The sequence below is a fragment of the Homo sapiens genome, chromosome 1, assembly GCF_000001405.40.
Source record: "Homo sapiens chromosome 1, GRCh38.p14 Primary Assembly".
In the NCBI taxonomy this organism is placed as follows: domain Eukaryota; kingdom Metazoa; phylum Chordata; class Mammalia; order Primates; family Hominidae; genus Homo; species Homo sapiens.
This window is the reverse complement of record NC_000001.11, coordinates 148,967,624-148,987,121: the sequence shown is the minus strand read 5'-3', so window position 1 is coordinate 148,987,121 and position 19,498 is coordinate 148,967,624. Positions and strand designations below refer to the sequence as shown.

The window sequence follows — 19,498 nt, the reverse complement described above, 5'->3', positions numbered from 1 at the left end:
AAGTAGCTGTTTTAAGTTACTTGAAAAGGCCAAATCATAATCTAAAATACTTTTGGGGGTATGAAATCCCATTAAAATTCTGGAAAGAGTTTCTACTTCTCCAAAAGGGTAATTATTCAATACAACTACAGTCTTCTATCCTTAGGCTAACCAAGGCACATGTAAATTAGGACTCCCAGGCAGACCAGGAGATATGACCACTGCACCTATTTTGTGATGCCATAATTCTGTAATGTCAAGAAATTCTTCCTGCTCATGGTCTCTTTTATTCTTCAAAGAAAACGAGAAATAGGTTTTTCTAGGAATGTTTAGAGACAGCACTACCCACCACAGTTGGCTCCTGAAACCTCTGTCGTGCTTTCTGCTATTCTCCTACAGCAAAGAAAGCAAGGAGGGTTTTTAAGGTAAAGTAGCCTATGTGACATTTCCGGGGAAAGTATAACACTGTTTCTTTAGTCTCACTTCTTCGAGAGGAGAAAAATTCGAGTTTCTTCTTCCTTCCTTTAGTTAAAGACTCATTCTACGAGCCTTGCTTTGACTTGGAATTTAGTAAATAATCAATAGACTGATTCTCCCATAAGGAAAAAAAAGATACAAGCTTTCTCTACTTTTTTTATAAATATCTTAAGAATAAAACCAAATAGTTTCTGTTGGCCTTTGATAATTTTATTGGATCAGTAACAACTTTTTGTGTTTCAACTAAGATAGCTAAAATTCTAACACTTATATGTAAAAATTACACTCCATTTTAGCACAAATGTTAACAGAAATTAACAGCACAGTGCCATGAAGAAATGAAAAATACACAGCTTTGGTAGGGAAATGGTCCTGGAAATAATGTAATGCCAAGTTTCTGATCATTTAACATATCACTCACCTCCTTCTTCATCTGATGTTATGAACCACTTTATTTATTTATTTAAGACAGAGTTTCACTCTTGTTGCCCAGGCTGGAGTGCAATGGCATGATCTCGGCTCACTGCAACCTCCACCTCCCAGGTTCAAGCGTGAAGTTATGAATCACTTTAATTCTTCTTAACAACCCACAAAAGTTTAAGTGAAAACTAGTAAGACTTCATGGACACAGATAGAAACTCATAATTTATAAAACATGCTGGTATAAATGCATGCCTACAAAGGTTATAGATTGAGAAAGAGGTCAATATCTTGGAGCTATGACTTTGATTATTGTAAAAAGAAGCACTACATATTCATGTTATATACTAAAAGTAAACCTACAAGGAAGCCAATATGGTTTATGTACTTAAAACCCCTATTCTCCATATTATTTTAAATACAACATTTTCTGATGTTGCTGAACTTTCTATTTTACCCTTCCAGTTTTAGTAAGAGGAAAACAGTATGATAAAGATTTTTACTTCTGGAATTTGACTTTAAACAAAAAAAAGGGAGAGTAACACAAAAATAATCAGTATATCACTTTATAAGTTTAATTATTCTTATTTGAAAACGGGTAGAATTAGTATTGTCAGGACCACAGTTTTGTGTTCCCTTCCATTTCCCATTCTTTGTTGGAGACAAATTACAAAGCTATTTTTTATTTAGAAAATTGATCTTGGCCCAGGTGAGAACAGGGAGAAGTTGAAGACTTACCTTCTGTTAATACTTAGATTACTTAAAAGCAACAGGCTTGTTATTTGATCATAATAAAATGTTTTAACAAAGCTACTGGTGCAAAGGGTGAGAAGGTGGCTTAAATCCACATTCTAAAACACATTATAACTGAAATAACTGAAATATACACTATATAAAAAACATTATAACTGAAATATACAGAAATCACTCGAATATATTATCCTACTGACTCATTCCTTCTGTTTATTACTGTATTGCCACATTGGAGTTCCATATTTCCAGCTATTCTTTCTACGGTACAAATGGTTCCACACTACCAAAGAGAAAAGAAAAGCTCACTGAGCTTTAACCCTGAGAGAACTCAGAGAAAATACTCTGTGCTGGTATCTCACAGGATATACCTGGAAAAGAAAACTAATTTCATTTGTTCTATCTCTAGTACAATTTCTACAAGGTAAAATGGAAAACTCACTTCAAGTGTGTGGGTTACTAATATTTCTTCCTAACTTCACAGGAAGTTTGTCACCTTTCCTTGCAGGATACTGACTGTAAACCTGCAGAATACTACATGATACCCTACTTGAAAAGGCCACTTGAGCTTTTCAGGGATGCCAAATGTCAAGATTTTGTGACTGTTTTCTATAAAAAGACCATGAAACGAGAAAACAAGTTTATCCTATCAATGGGAACTAGAGTTTTCTAATACTACCTCAAGAAAAGCAAAGGTATTATTGTTCTCTCTAAGGCTTACAGTCCAAAGGAAAGTGACTTTAGGTAGCTCAGTCAACCTTTATTTCTCAATGAAAAGGACAATTTTCAGTATAATGTGATCTGCTACTCCTTTCCACAATCAGAAGACTCCAGATTCAACTGGAAGATCAACATAGAGAGAACTGAAATCAGTCTTCTTGAACAGTTTTTGAAGCTATGAACCAAACATCTCATGACCCAGACACTGAATTAGGAGGATGAATGAGCATAAAAGTGATAGGTTTTTTTATGTACATCGGCCACAGAGTTTACTTATGCATAAACTGTGTAAATAGAATATACTAAAGAACCCTCAAGGAAACTAATTCTTATGATGAGGAACTCATATCCTCTACAGGTTAAGATTTTCTGGATCCTTAATAGATCTCTTGCTATATATAATGTAATAGAAACATCTTTTAAAAATATAAATAAGGAAAAATGTATTTCCTCTAAGAAGCAAAGGTCCTGAAAAAATTACTGCTGTCCACAACTGAATGAAGAGAAGAGGGTGTGGAGAAGGTTGGGTGACAGATAAGAGTACACACTATCAAAGGAAAAGGCTGACCTACTAACTTAGTCCAATAATGTCTTTTCAAAAAAGTTATAACTTGGCTATCTAAAAAGAGAACATCAGATGAATGTTGATTTATACTAGGTACTAATAATCATCAAATTTTCAATACTATAAACTTTCAATAGAAAAGAGTTTAGGGACAATATCTATCTAAGGACATTTATTTCACTCATTAAATAAGTCCTCTTGGAGGTTCTTTTCAACTCTATACTTCTAAAACCTACAGACTTCATCTACCCTGAACTCTTAGAACCATTACTCTGCATTATTTGCTATTATTCAAAAGGGAAGCATGAGAAAAACAAAATCTATCATATGGATTTTTTTCTCAATTTAAGTTCTATGCTTCCAATTAAGCATGGCCTAAGTAAAAATTTACTTCATTATTTTTATTTGAAGACTATTTTTACTCAAGCACAGGTTCTATAAGCACACGATGCTTTATTTAAAATTACTGTCATTGAAAAATGACTGTCAAAGGTAAAATAATCCAGTATGAGAAAGAGTCTGTGCTCCTGTAGAGAAAATGGAATATTATATCATGCTAAATATTATTAAATGATGTGTCCAACCACAGCATGATCTCTGTGTGGATTATAAAATTTATCAGACTCATGCTCTCTAATCAGATGCCAAATTATCACACAAAGTTGTTAGACCAGCAAGCTCTCTCCAGATAACACTGTTTGCAAGCCTCATTCCAGCTATCTAGACCCGAAAAAGTTAGTACCATATTCTAGTCACATTTATGACATTAAGATCAGACTTTTAATTTATCCTGCTATCAATTTACTCTTGCTGGAGGTTGACAGAAGTAGGAGTGATTATTAACATAAACTGTAATCACTATGAGCCATTAGAAATGAAGAATCACCCAGAGCTGAATCTTACTAGCGATTCAGAAGGCTTCCTTGGTTGGTCTATTAGTAAAATTAAGGAAAGATGTTCCCTAAATGCCTTGTTGTAATGACACGACAAACTAGTCTTTGATGGGTTGACATTTCTACGGCTCCATTACCTTCCTCTTTACTTATGGAAAGTTACAAAAAATTTTGTGCAAGAAAGGGTCTCTTAAAATTGGGAGACTAAGAAAAGTGGATGGATCGGCCTACACTTCCTATCTCCTTCCTTAAATGACTCCTTTTTCCTCAAAAGCCATTGAAACTGAAATGGCAGATCCATTAAGAGTAAGGCTTATGGCTATTAATCTTTTGCAAATGACTTAATCAGAAGATTCCAGAGTGCTTCCCCAGTAGAGCATTTTCTCCCTGTCCACTCTAGTTTGACTGATGCTCTATCTGTTATAGACACAGCTAAAGTTACAGAAACAGATGAAATTTAGAATGTAATACAAGCCATGTCAACATGTGAAAGAAATAAAGTGTCATGTAAAAAAAAAATGGAAGGAAAAAAAATCATTGTGCCCCACTTAGTTTAGAAAGGGTATTCAGTCACATTTACTGTGCTAGAAAGCCTCAATCCCTGTTCCCAAATTCCATATTTAAAGTAACTGAAACCTCAGCTTCTAACCTAGGAAACTTCCAACCAGAGGAAATGAAAACAAATTCATGATGTTGATCTCACAAAGCTGCAAAGCAATCTTGGTTACTTTTCACACTTGACATTCAAGACATCAGAAATACAATCTCCAGTGCCCCTCTCCTTATACCTGTCACGCTGCCACAAGAAAGCACTGAGGCAATGATTAAAACTATAAACATACATCTGTAACATTTCTTTCTAAACTATTCTAGCACTTCAAAGCCTGAAGCCTATTACTGTTATATGGAGAAATGTATACATACTAAATAGTGAAAAACATAGGACCCTATCTAGTGCCACAAATGAAAGAAGCAATACCCTCTTCTGGCTATAATGAGTTATTTGGTGAAACACTGAATGTAAAGAGGGATACTACATTTGAAATTATCTTTGTAAACAGAGAATTCTGACTCTGGAAGACCATTCTAGAAGTCATGTTCTGACTAAATAGCATGAGCTTGGTTTAAAGAAACCTAAAGGAATCAATAAAGAACAAATTTTAAGTAGAATTTAATCTGTACCTAATCTAATTTCACTTGTGTACAACAGTCAACTCTGAGACAGTATTGGAGATAAAAGTTGACTATGATCACTTTCATAGTTCTTGCCTCTGTTCTTTAACTTGGCCTTCCCAATACTTGCAGTCTACTATTACAAGACTACTCTCCTGGTTTTGATTACCTTCTGATAAGGATTATATCACTTTTGCAAAGTCATTCTTATAGACTCTCAATCTCTTTCCCGCTCTCTCATCTTAAAACTTGCATGCTTTTGATTTAAAAAATGCTCTCACTCAAAGAGGAGTTGACTGAATGGCAAAAATAATACACACACATGCATTTATGATATGATATGGAACATATGAAATGGATTGTGAAAGTTGGGGAAGAATAAACTTTATTGGCCCACAGAAGGGATGAGGGAACGAGAAGGGGCTAGGGATAAGAATGAATAAAAGTGGAAAAACTAAAACAGAATGATTTAAAATGTGCAAATACACTTTGCAACCTCCACCATTCAATTTAGGGATTGATATGTATGTACAGTGAGATCCATGTAGGCTAAAGTGAGTTTCACTTTGTAGTTGATGCTACTTGTACCAGTTCTATCATTAGTAAGTCACCGTTTAATTCTGCCAAAATCAGACAAGGATCTTTCTGGTTAGTGCAAACAAGGTTTTCCATCCTGGGCTGCAGTCTGACCCGCCAGTGCTCAGTAGGCATGCTTGTGATGAATTCGCACACTTTCCAGTTCCCCACCTCCAATGGCGGCCAGGGTCTCCAGCCTGTTTAAGCGCTCCAAGCTTCTTCCAAGAACTTCTTCTAGCCGACTGCGTAACACCTGAGCCCCTTCCAGTTCCACCTGCAGAGTTCGGTCTCTCTCAGAGCTGATTAAACATGCCACATGGAAGGAAAGTGGATTAGCCATCAACTGTAGTGAGTCCACATTTGTTTCCAAAGAACCATCAATACCACTTTGAGCCACACGACTTTGTAAAGTAATTGTTCTCCAGGACACAATAAATGAATGTAGTCTTTGTGTGGCATTTGTGTTCACTGCTGATAGATTAGTAAGGACTGTTGCTTTTTTTAAAAGCTTGCCCCTTATGCTAGATTCTGGGCCAATTTCACATAAAATTATAGCTCCTAAGACTTATCTCACACCCCTATAGCCCAAACAAGAGAAATTTCATTATTTGGCTAAAAGCTTTTGTTTCTGAAAAACTAAAACCCAGGACAAACTAAATATAAACTGGAGCAAGACTGAGCCAAGTAGAACCACTACTGAAGATATTTGTTTTCTCATTTGTTACCAAACTTGACGGTGGGATGGTGTGCTGAAAAGGAATCTGGTTCATAAAAACTAAAGCTCCAGAGGTTCTTTAAAAAGTAACACAATCAACTGGTCCTATCATACCTTTCCTCTGCCTTCATTTTCCTGGTAGAAAGAAAACATTTTTAAAGCCCAACAATAAATTACAAGAAACTGAATAGCAAAAATAATAATAATAATAAAAATTGAAAAAGAATAAAAGGGGCTAGTAGGGAAGGCAAAATGAGAAAACAAAAATGAAGAGAATATAAAATGATCCAGAGAGGTATCATATATGTGACCAAAAATCAAGAGGTAGAAGAAAAATATATTCATCATGATAGCTATTGGTGGTCCCAGGATGATATTAGCCATCCCAATTAATATATTTTCTTTGATGATATTAAATGAATATCAGTGCCCATTATAGCCTTACTCTTTTTCTTTTTTTTTGAGACGGAGTCTCGCTCTGTTGCCCAGGATGGAGTGCAGTGGTGTGAACCCAGCTCACTGCAACCTCTGCCTCCCAGGTTCAAGTGTGTCTCCTGCCTCAGCTTCCCGAGTAGCTGGGACTACAGGCGCGCGCTACCTCACCCAGCTAATTTTTGTATTTTTAGTAGAGACAGGGCATAGCCTTACGTTTATAATAGAACAGCCTTTAACAGGACATGGATCACAGAAAAGAAATGAACATACATTGAGTGCTTACTACATGCAAGGCATTGTTTTAGACACAAAAGCTGTCTTCTTATTTAATCTCTGCAATAGCTGTGTGAAACAGGCACTAATCCCAACTTAAGATTTTGACACTGAGGCTCAGAGCAATCCATAAAACAAATGACAAAGTGGGTAGCCCCGGTAATTGTCCCTCTTTTTTCTCCCCTCTTCAGTATCATAAGCATCTGCACTTAATGAAGAATAAAAGGCATAAATACAATAGTAAAAGAAATAAAAATTTCAATAAAGAATAAAAGAAAAAACAGCCTCTCTCTTACCTCTCTGGATGGGCATGGAACTTCACCAGACTGCTATAGAGCTGTCTCTCTGCTTGTAAGGCCTCATTGAGCCGACTCCGTTCATCTACTAGTCCTTCTAGCATCAGCAGCAACTGAGTAAAGAAGAGAGAGGAAGCAATACGCAAATGGCACAGTGAGACATGAATAAGAAACAAGAAAATGCATTAGCATGTACTATGACTTAAAAAGCCCACTATCTTAGTACTTAAGCTTTTGATACTATTTTATAGTTTTCAAATCAATGTCATATTATCTTTTTTTTATCTTTAAAACCTGTAAGGTGGAATTCAAACATGGGAGCAAAAAGAAGAAAAAGCAGAGAGAAGCTGGAAGCACAGGAAAGCAGCTAAGAAAAAGGAGTAAGAGGGAAACAGGATGGACAAGAGGGAAATGTATATAATAGGACTTACTAGTATTCTTCATTCATTCAATTAATATTTACTGAGCACGTTCTACGGGACAGACTCTGTTCTAGGTTCTAGGGGAAAGCTTACTATCTAGTGGAGGAAAAAGACATTCATTAATCATAGATGTGTGTCATTGTGAGTGTAATAAGTGCTATAAAGATAATGAGCTATGACAATGTATAATCAACAGAGTTGTTTAAGGTACAGTTAAAAGCCAGAATGCAGTGGGGTGAGTAGTTAGTGAGACAGATGATAATGGAGACAGGGAGTACAGGCAAGTAAGTCTTTTGGAAAAGTCTGGCATTGAAGAAAGGTTAAATGGGGCTGTAGCTACAGAGAAATTTGGGGCAAATGTAGGGGTTTCTTTCTCTTTTTTTTTTTTTTTTAACTGGGAGAGATCTGAACATGGTTAAATGCAGATAAAAGAGAAAGATTCAGTTGAGGGAGGTGACTTAGGTATGAGTGTGAGGGATAACTATTGGTATGTGTCCAAAAGAACTGCTGCTCTTTTCAGAACTACAAATGTCAGAAAGGGGCATCTATAGCTGCTACCGACCAAAGTAGGAAATTTTAGAGCACAGTTTCTCTAGGAAATACCATCAACTAACCCTCCACAAATAGCTGAGATTGACAGCTTTACCATGGTTTATTTCACAGTAGAAAAATAAGGTTTGAGCCGGGCGTGGTGGTGTGCACCTGCAGCTCCAGCTACTCAGGAGGCTGAGGCAGGAAGATTCCTTGAGCCCCAGAGTTTGAGGCTGCAGTGAGCTGTGATCATACCACTGCACTCCTGCCTGGGTGACACAGTGAGACCTTGTCTCAATGTGGTGACTCATGCTTGTATGTAATTCCAGCACTTTGAGGGGCCGAGGAGGATGGATCACTTGCAGTCAGGAGTTCAAGACTAGCCTGACCAACATGGTGAAACTCCATCTCTACTAAAAAAAAAAAAAAGAATACAAAAAAATGTAAATAAATAAATAAGGTTTATATTCCAGTAACTTACCTGTTGTCTTCGGTTTCCTGAAATTTCTTGACCCTGGGATTCTACTGAAGCAACTTTTTCCCGAAGAAGTAAGACTTCCTGGGTCAGGCGTTCCATAGCTGGTATGTCTTCAGGATCAACCAGTTGCATTTGCAGGTCCTAGAAGTCAAAAAATAAGTATGGATGTGAAAATAGTAATAAAAGGATTATTCAGCAGAGTAGCACGGGAACAAATGTCTTGAAATATTCTGCCTATACTTTCAAGTGGGATATGGATAATCACTGGCCAAGGGATTCGATGTGTGCAAATATTGTCTGAAGAGGCCCTACAGGTATTCTGAGCTGTGAACATTTCCAGTGGTCTTTAAAAAGTTTTGAAAGACCTTTATGAGATCTTCTTTAATCTGTATGTTCCTGGTCAGAGACTCCATATCAGCAGCCTGCACCTGCAGCTCTTCTTCCTGCACAGCCATCATGGACTGTAGAGCAGAAAGTTCCATCTGTGAAAAGAGGAAACAATGTCTGCCATGTTTACATTTTAACACTGAGGCAAATGCTTTTGCATATCCTATTACTATCAGCCAGTAATGGAAAAGAAAATGAGAACATGAATAGGGCTCTACAGCATCAAACCAATAATCCATGCAGTATAGTAACAAAGGAAGTTTTATGGGAAGATGTCATAGTTGTTCTTAATGATGTCTTCTACTTTAGCTGGCACTATAAAACACATCAAATTTGTTTAACAAGCTTATTATGATACTGAAAAAGAATGGTTACCATTAGCAGAAGCAAGAAGAGATGAAGTTTTTATGTAAGTAAAACTTCACCTAACAGATGAAAAAATGATAGCATTAGGATATCTCCATTTTGCAACCCTTAATGAATTAAGGGATAAGGCATCAAACAGCAACAGCTGCTAACATCACGAGAGATCACCAAACATTACATGACTCCTGATGGAAGAACACGCCACCACCTGTGAAGAAATACTGCCAAAAGTTGGCACTACATGCCCTAAACTTTCAGTGTTCTCATCAGAAAATGACAAGTACTTGGTTATGACAAACTTCATTAAAAATCATAATAGGCCAGGCGTGGTAGCTCACACCTGTAATCCCAGCACTTTGGGAGGCTGAGGTGGGCGGATCATGAGGTCAGGAGTTCGAGACCAGCCTGACCAACATGGTGAAACCCATCTCTACTAAAAATACAAAAACTAGCCGAGCGTGGTGGTGTGTGTCTGTAATCCTAGCTACTCAGGAGGCTGAGGCAAGAGAATCGCTTGAACCCAGGAGGCAGAGGTTGCAATGAGCCAAGATCGTGCCACTGCACTCCAGCCTGGCAACAGAGCGAGACTCCATCTCAAAAAAAAAATCATGATAACAACCATAGCTGCTAACACTTACTATGCCCTGGGCTCTCTAATAAATGCTTTGTATAGATTTAATCCTTTTAACAAACCTAGTGATCTGGCTCCTGCCTACTTTTCCTACTTTAATATCTGCCATTTTACTGCTCACTCATGACTCTGTAGGCACATTAGACTTTTTCTGTTCCAGGAACACCAGACTTTCTCTTGACTCGGCCTTTACAACTACTCCCTTTGCCTGAAATATCTTTCTCAGGGCTGCCTCCTTTTCATCCTTAGGTCCCAGCTTACGTGTCATCTGCTCAGAGAAGCCTTCTTTGGCCACCCTATTTAAGATGGTCTCCATCCATGTTGCTTTCTATCATTTCCCTCATATCACTTACTATACTCTATAACTATAATGTTTATTTATTTATTGTCTGTATCTCCCCAATAGAAATTAACTACACAGAGCCACAGACCTTACTGATTTCATTCACTACCTACCTCATCCCCAGCACTAGCCCAAGCTTAGAGAAGGTCCCCATATAGCTAATGAATGAATGAGTGAATCCTCACAACAATCCTATGAGATAACTACTCTTTTATTTATACATAAGGTGACTTCTTCTACTCTTCAACTTACAGACAAGGTGATTTGAGTCTGAGAGAAATTAAGAAACTTGTTCAAAAATCACAGGGCTGGCTAGTAAGTGGTAAATCCAGAACGTGAACTCAGGGAAGCTGACTCAGAGCCACTAGGCTATAATATCTTTCCTGTAGATACCACATATCCATACAATCTTTATGGTAAGACAAGTTATTTTAAATAAAACCTTTAAAGGAATTTAGCAATAGCTAAATATCACCCAAAATACCCATTCATAGGCATTACAATTTCATGATCCTGAAAACAGGACAGAACCAAAAAGTAACATTACTCTGGATTTGATAAATGTGAGAAAAACAGGAAGAGGATGTGGAAACTAAAATATCTGACATGAATAATCAGATAATGGCTAAGGTAGAACCACAAAAAGGAAGGGGGACTAGGGGATTTTTAAAACTGGTATTTCTTAAATGCCACACATTCTCATATCCTGAAAACTAATTGAGTCATAAAACATGAGTCTGTTTGTAAGCAGAAATATGACAATGAAATCAAAAGATAAAATATGATAATTCTGTCACAAATACAAACACAGGTTTTATATTATAGATCTAGCTATGGCAAAAGGTAGAAAAAAACTAAGAGCTATTTGGACTAGCTAGCTAAACTGAATTTAGGAAGCCATGACATTGAGTGATCTTCTAAAAGAGATGCCAGCATAGTAACAAACAAGCTTTTAGTTTCAGTCTGTAACTCTGAGCTGTGGTCCTAGTATTTCTTCAACATCATAGTTGAATATGCAACTAGCTGTGGAGGAAAGGCAGGGGGAAGGGAATCTCTAAGGCTGAAAGGCCTCTTCCAAAAAAAATTGAAGAGAACTCTATGCTAGAGCGAGTTAAAGCATAAGGTGGGAAAAATGTGCTCTAGGAAATGAATCTTCTTAGGAAGTATGTGAAGTCACAAAAGGCTTGAGTTTGAATCATAGCTCTGGCATTTATTAGTTACATGACTATTCTCCACTCCCATTTTAAAAGAGAAATCAGTGTTTCAGCTTCTTCGTCTATAATAATTGGGCCGACACCACTTACTTTGTGTAGAGTTGTGAGCATTAGTGCTAATTTAAATACCTAGCACAGTACATTGCACATGAATACTTGATAAACACTGATTATACTCAAATTTCTCGTTTCATGTTTCTAAATCTAATTTCACGGATCTAATGTCATAACTCTAAGCAGCAATCACACAGCGCTTCCTTTTTTCACCAGTGCTTTACAATTATTATTATTATTATTATTATCTTGGAGGCGGAGTTTTGCTCTTGTTGCCCAGGCTGGAGTGTGATGGCACGATCTCAGCTCACTGCAACCTCTGCCTCCCGGGTTCAAGTGATTCTCCTGCCTGAGGCTCCCGAGTAGCTGGGATTACAGGCGCCCGCCACTACACCTGGCTAATTTTTGTATTTTTAGTAGAGACGGGGTTTCGTCATATTGGCCAGGCTGGTCTCGAACTCCTGTTCGAGCGGATCAAGTGATCCGCCCACCTCGGCCTCCCAAAGTGCTGTGATTACAGGCATGAGCCACTGCACCCGGCCTTTACAATTATTTTATTCCAGTTAGCAATGGGGAGAGAGGGTTACGTTTTTCCAGCATTTAATAAGTTTTAATGGTCCCAATCTAAAAACAGGAGCATCTTTTTGAGATAATGTATATATAAAATAACTTATATTTTTCTCCAAAAAGAAAAAAGTCATACCTGGCATTTGGACTCAGATATTATACATGGAGAATTATATGCTTTTAAATATAAACTATTTTGAAAGAAAAAAATAATAGGGATTTTGGAATTAAGACTTAACTAAAAAACTCACCTGACTTTCTCTTTCTTTTTTAGCCATGAGTTCAAGTTCCTCTTTGGCATTACTCAGTTCTTTTTCCAGCCCTGCAACTGTGTCCAAGTCTCCTAAAATGAAAATATAGCACTAGTTTTAATTGCTATTAACATAATGTGGTATCTGCTGCCTCCTTTGAGTAATTTACAGAGGACACATTCCAATAATAAGAAAAAAGAAAACATACACACAGGTTGTTCTTTATAGCATTATTTATAATAGCAAAATACTGCAATCATCCTAGATGCTATAAAGAAAAGATTGAATAAACTATAGTATATTCACAGATGGCACTATATACTGATGTAAAAAAAGAATAAGGATGATCTTTATGAATTTATATGGAGTGATTTTGAGATTTTAAGAATATGTTAAGTAAAAACAAGCTATGTGCTTAAGAATACATCTAAAGTAGTAGGTTTTCTATTAGGAAAAAGGGGAAATAAGAATGTACATATATACATTACATATACGCAGATGATTCATTTGCTTATTTTTGCAAAAAGATATACAGGAAGAATAACCCAGAAATGAAACTGATTACCTGCAGGAGATGAGTGGAAACAGGAGAGAAGGAACAGGAAAATATTGGACATCTGAGTATATCATTTTATATACTAGAGTTTTGAACTGTGTAAATGTTTAATTTTTAATGTGTAAGTCAGTTTGACAATGAATGAGAGAGAAAAGGTCTAAAATTGAATACTAATATAAATAAATAAATCTATATAGCAAATAGATAACAAAACCATCCAGAAGATAATAAAAAAATTAATCCAAATAATTTTTGAACTCACTACTACTCTAACTGAACACTGTCAGTGCAAAATATCCTAAGGATAAAAAGAATTACAAAAAAATCTTAAACATTACTTAATACATTTATTGTTGATGGTGATATTTATGTAACAATTCCAAAAATACTTTTGCATATTATAGTATTCTGCAACTGTGTAAATATTTTGAAATATATTGATGCTATAAGTAACCAGGGCTCTCAAGGAGATACAAATATGAAATGAGGGAAAAAAGAACCTATATTGTTAAATTGGAATTAAGGAAATCAGTATCAAATCTTCACATATATACAAATACACACATACATACTTAAAAATATTCATTGCTAGTTCTGTTCTCTTAAAAGGGCCTAGAAGCGGCTGGGCGCAGTGGCTCACATCTGTAATCTCAGTACTTTGGGAGGCCGAGGAGGGCGGATCACGAGGTCAGGAGATTGAGACCATCCTGGCTAACACGGTGAAACCCCGTCTCTACTAAAAATACAAAAAAATTAGCTGGGTGTGGTGGCTGGCGCCTGTAGTCCCAGCTACTCGAGAGGTGAGCAGAGAGATCGTGCCACTGCACTCCCACCTGGGTGACAGAGCGAGACTCCGTCTCAAAAAAAAAAAAGGTCCTAGAAGCAAAAGGCATTCATGTAGCAATGAACACATCTTGTGTCCAGATCATAGTTTCTGAATGCCATTACCCACCAAAAGGAACCAGGGAGCTCTTTAGGATAATGGCTGATTCTGGGACTGAGGCAGGTAAAGCAAAAGGTAATCATAGAACATCTTATTGTGCCAGAAACTATCAAACTATGCTAACATTATATATATATATAACATTAGTAGGTGATGTCAAGTTACAGTGAGTGGCCCCAGACTTGAAACGATACCCAGGAAAAGGTGTCAGCTCATGGCCCTGCTGTGCAGGATTGGAACAATTACCTCCTGCATTTCTGAATCCCTGCAAAGCTATCTGAAAAGGAGAGTAAGGATAGAATTTCTCTGGGCCGAATTGTGAACCCAGAGCAATCAGCTCAACTCAACATAAGGTAAGGACAGTTCTTCAGCCTTTCAGAGGAATTCCAAACTTATTTGTTCTATTAAGGTAGGAAGAGAAAAGAGTCTTGGCCAAACCTATAATACAGAGATTACTAGAAGAAAAAACAAGAGAAAAACAAAGTCCCTTAATGAAATGAAATTTGATACTTACCTAATGTGGATCTGGGTATGCTGACATCCTCTTTGGCAGTCAATGAAGTGCTATCATCTCTGGAAGGTATCTGCATTGAACCCTAAAAAATTGCAAAAGTCAGGGGACTTAGGAAGATGCAGGAACTATGATCACAATGACAGTACTGAGAATATTCTCAGAATTTGGTATTAAAATTATCAAACTTACACCTCAAATGTAAAAAGGAAATGGAATCAGCATGAATTATGTAAGTCTATAGTTCTTACTTGATCAGTCTGTTTTCCAAGACGGCCAGTGGGGGTAACTTCAGCTTGTTGGTTAGAGATGGGTGCTTGGGACATCAGGGAGTCTCTCCCTCCTAAATATTGGCGCAGGGCCTGTAATTCTGAATTTCTTTCCATTAAGGCTTGCACCAACTTCTCTGCAGCAGCCTAGTAAGAGGAAATCACAAATAACATTATAAAGATATTCTAGTAAAACAAATTTTTTGTTCTGGTATTATTTCTTCAAAGTCAACCATTTGTAAAAAACAAACAACAATGACAACAACAAAAAACAGTGGGTCCTTAGGAAATAGTTTCCTTGCTTTCAGTTTACAGGGAAAAACAGAGTTAAGTGAATGGAAAGAAAGTCTCATAGGCAGAATATTGGGAAAAAAAACTGAATTTAACACATCTGTAACAGATAAGAGAATCTGAAATAGGTTCTGCTACAACTATCAGGCTAAGGTGTTAAGATTCTGGTTTGAATTAGTATAACAAATGTCTTTATTCTCGGATAGTTGCTTCTTAGGGGTGGATTCCTTTTCACTCAAACATTTGTGTGGTTTGCTCCCTTCAGGTCTTTGCCAAATGTCACCTTATCAGGTTGGTCTTTCCTGCGTATCCTATCCAAAACAGCAATCTTGCTGGCCAAAGTATAAGATGAATATGTTTTGGGGATCCAATGATAGCATGGTGACTTTAGTTAATAATACTGTATTATTTACTTGAAATTTGCTAAGAGAGTAGATCTTAAGTGGTTTCACCATACACGCATAAAATGTGTAGTGACGGATGTGTTAATTTGTGGCAATCACTTCAAAATGTATATGTATATCAACACATCATGCTGTACACCTTGAGTATATACAATATTTGTCAATTATACTTTAATAAAGCTGGGAAAAAATTTTTTTTAAAACCCAGCAATCTCTTCTCTATCTCCAACACTTCTTACTGTGCTTAATTTTTTTTCGATGCACTTACCATTATCTAATAGATCTCTCTCTCTGCTTCCCCTACATGGAATGTAAGTTTCCTAAAGGCAATTTGGTGCTGAATCTCAAGCACCCAGTACGGTGTCTGGCACATAATAGGCACACACTACATATTTACTGAATGAATCAATTACGCACATAAACATGTTTATCAGACCACATGATTAGGATAATCTCAACCTCAAAATCACCCAACTCAGCTTGTTTCATTTCAAATCCCAGTTTTCTAAGACAGATGATGACACACTAAGGGAAAGATCTAGAACATTTTTAACTATTAATGCACAGGAAGTCTGCATTTAAACAGAAAATCTGGAAATAATAAATTGATATTAAAATTACTGAGGGTCTAAGATGATGAATCATAACACCAACTGTCTCTGAGGAAAAGTACTATTGTTTTAGGGCAGAAGCTGAGCTCTTGTCACAATTTCTAGGGGAAATATGAAAAAACCTTCCACTTTTCAGTAAGTAAAATTTGGGCTCTTTGGAGATTTGAATTTAACTATTTTAGACGTATCAGAATATTATTAAAGTACCTTAATAAAAATATCTGTGAAAACTGTGGGGAAAAAACATAATAAATAATATACAAGATATATACTGTGCTCTATCTGCCTTGGCACTCCTTTTCTCGTAGTATTTAAGAGTTTTTAGCAGTGCTCCTCCAATGCAGTCCCCGAACCTGCAGCATCACTATCACCTGGAAACTTGTTAGAAATGCAAATTCTTAAGTCCCACCTATACCTCGTAATTTCTTTCTCTGGAGTTGAGCTCCACAATCTACATCTTTAAAAAGCTATTCAGGTGATTTCTTTTGCACGTAAATTTAGAGAAGCAGATCTAGAAGAATACAACCATTAATCTTCTTGAGTTGAAAAATCTCCTGTAATTTCCATCATCTCCATTATTCTATTACCAGCAGTGCATAATTTTTTTTCTGAGGTATAATAAAGACCAATTGTCCCAAATCACAAAGAAGTTAAAAAGAAAACTCAAAGATCCTAGCCTCTTGCCAAAGATTTAAATAATTTAGAATAATTTTGTTAGGTCTATTTTAGAAACAATTTCTGAAGCACACAGCAGGACCTTTCTAGAAAGATGTGTATTTACTTCAGTGGGCCTAACAATTAGAATAGTGGAGTATAATCCTTTCACAACATAAGAAAACATAAGAAAATATTATGGGGTCAAATAACATAGGCAAAAAAGAGTCTATCTTCCTCTAAAAACTGACTACGGGGATTCTGAGCTACTGGTATCTGAAATGCAGCACAAGTCAACTAAGAGTTTTTAGCCTTGAGGAGAAAACACATAGAAATGAGGAAAAATTAACACTTTACTATGGGCAGGGCATGGTGGCTCACGCCTGTAATCCCAGCACTTTGGGAGGCTGAGATGGGTGGATCACTTGAGGCCAGGAATCGTAAGCCAGCCTGGCCAACATGGTGAAACCCCATCTCTACTAAAAATACAAAACTTAGCGGGCATGGTGGTGCATGCCTGTAATCCCAGCTACTTGGGAGGCTGAAGCAGAAGAATTGCTTGAACCCAGGAGGCAGAGGTTGCAGTGAGCCAAGATTGCGCCATCGCACTCCAGCTGGGTGACAGAGGGAGATGCCATCTCAAAAAAAAAAAAAAAAAAGAATTTACTTCTTAAATATTGTGAAATTAATATACCCTGTACTATTATGAGATTGTTTATTCTCACCATGACCTCTGAAAAATGCGATCTTTTTTCCCTCTTAACTCAGATTTTACAAAAACTAAGAGTAAACATGTTGAGTGTAAGTTTTCCCATACCTTGACTGGAAATGCAAAATATCACTCAAGTCTTAACAATTTAGAATCAAAATCGAAACACTCACAACCCCTACTCCTTTCTCTCAAAATTATCAGATTATTAAGGAAAAGAAAATGTATGTAATGAAGTTAATGGATACATGTATTGTTTAGGCACCCTTCCAAATGCAAGGTTTTCAAGAAATGTGTCATACTTTGATGATTAATGTAAAACTGTGGTCTAAGGCCAGGCGCAGCAGCTCACACGTATAGTCCCAGCACTTTGGGAAGCCAAGGCAGGATGATTGCTTGAGCCCAGGAGTTTGAGACCAGCCTGTGCAACACAGCGAAACCCCCATCTCTAAATAAGTAAGTAAATAAATAAAACTGTGGTTTAGGTAATAAATAGAAGGAAAGAAACTAACAGAGTTGACGGTAAAATATATAAATATACACACATCTATAGTCTGCAAATGCTTCCTATTTGCAGACTATAAATGCACTACATGACACTTGTCTGATCTGTGCATTAATCCTTACTTGGCTTTCCTGCTCCCTGGTGCTCACAGACTGAAGCAGGCCTTGAATCTCCATTTCATGTTCCAGCACTTGTTTATTTCGATCACTTAGAAGGTCCTGCAGCATCCTTTCCTTTCGCTGTAGACGCTGGCACAGCTCCTCTGCTATCTCACTCTGCCCTGGTCCAAGTTTGCAGAGCAGTGTTGCACTAAGATCCTAATGCAGAAAGGACACTGTAAGCTTCTGGAGGAAAGAAATGCCTCTGCTAAATATCAAAGGGCTTATAAGAATCTATCATAGAAGAAGGAGGTGTGAGATTCTTGAGAATAAGTATCATGTTTTACTCATTTTTGTTTTACCAGATCTAGCACAGGCCTGCTACACAGAAGTCTCTAAATACATGTCCCAGGAATGAATACAAACCATACAGAAAACTATCTCTGGTGGCCACTTACATACATATTGTTTTCTGAAATAAGTCTTTTTCCTATTTGTTCAGGGCATGTAACAATTAATGTTAGATGAGGATAAATGGACACTCAGTTCATTTATTTGTTTTCTCCCCAGTGTAACTTAACAGGGGGAAGCATAAAACGATAAGCTGAAAGGAATACTAAACACTATATTTGCTATCATAGCGATGGTTTCTATTTCTGTACTAACTGATGGCACATGGTGGAGGAATGGAGCCATACTGCCTAGGTTGATACTGGATCTGCTACTTATTAGCTATGTTAGCTTGGACAAGTTACTTAGCTTCAGAAGTCTGTTTCCTCCTCTATAAAAAGGAATAATAGAAAGTACCTCATGGACTTGTGAGGATCCAATGAGTTAATATCCATTAGGATCTTAAAACAGTACCTGACCCAGCATGAAGACTATAACTAATAAAGGTTAGCTATCATGTTAAAGATGCAATTTTTGGGTCTCATTAATTCTCACATAAGTTCTTTGAGAAAGTTAATTGCCAACTTAAGTTTCTAGACGTGGGGAAAAAAAAAATCCCAGTGAAAGTCAATGACTTGCCCAGGCACAGAATGAAATTAAAGACTTGGGTCACAGTCCTCCCAATCTGAAGAGTCCTAATCCAAGGCTGAGATTACATAATCACTGAACCAACTGCCTTAAAGTTAACTGAAGTCTTGCCTCCACTTCTTTGTTCCTATCATGAAGAGACGTCTGTAACTGCTGAATGATACTCTCTTGTTCCTTCTGCCAACGGCTAAATTTGGTTTCCATTTCTTCTTTCAGCCACTGGAGGTTTTGACAGGTAGTAGATAACTGTTCCACTTCCAGGCCTTTGGCCCTCAGGAGACTCTCCATACTCTACAGCCATAAAGAGAGCAATAATCAGTCAAAATGATTACCCCATACTCCTCAGGATAAACAAGAAATTAGATCCACTTTTAAATAATCTCCCATCAATTT

General features: G+C 37.0%; 1 protein-coding gene across 40 annotated transcripts in view; it reads right to left on the bottom strand.

Annotated features, from left to right (window-relative positions):
• PDE4DIP (phosphodiesterase 4D interacting protein) overlaps positions 1 to 19,498 on the bottom strand; it is a 224,583-nt gene that overhangs the window by 45,895 nt on the left and 159,190 nt on the right. For 34 of the 40 annotated variants that reach the window (NM_001377392.2, NM_001350521.4, NM_001395298.1 and 31 more), the window contains 9 exons: positions 19,217 to 19,396; positions 18,092 to 18,286; positions 14,778 to 14,942; positions 14,530 to 14,611; positions 12,517 to 12,608; positions 9,069 to 9,185; positions 8,707 to 8,844; positions 7,273 to 7,385; positions 5,725 to 5,852 (listed from right to left, as the gene is read on the bottom strand). In NM_001377392.2, coding sequence (NP_001364321.1) covers positions 5,725 to 5,852; positions 7,273 to 7,385; positions 8,707 to 8,844; positions 9,069 to 9,185; positions 12,517 to 12,608; positions 14,530 to 14,611; positions 14,778 to 14,942; positions 18,092 to 18,286; positions 19,217 to 19,396 — 1,210 coding nt within the window. Of the gene's footprint in view, positions 1 to 650; positions 5,853 to 7,272; positions 7,386 to 8,706; positions 8,845 to 9,068; positions 9,186 to 12,516; positions 12,609 to 14,529; positions 14,612 to 14,777; positions 14,943 to 18,091; positions 18,287 to 19,216; positions 19,397 to 19,498 lie in introns of those variants that run through there. The other 6 variants (NM_001395317.1, NM_001395320.1, NM_001395321.1 and 3 more) reach the window with 2 other exon arrangements.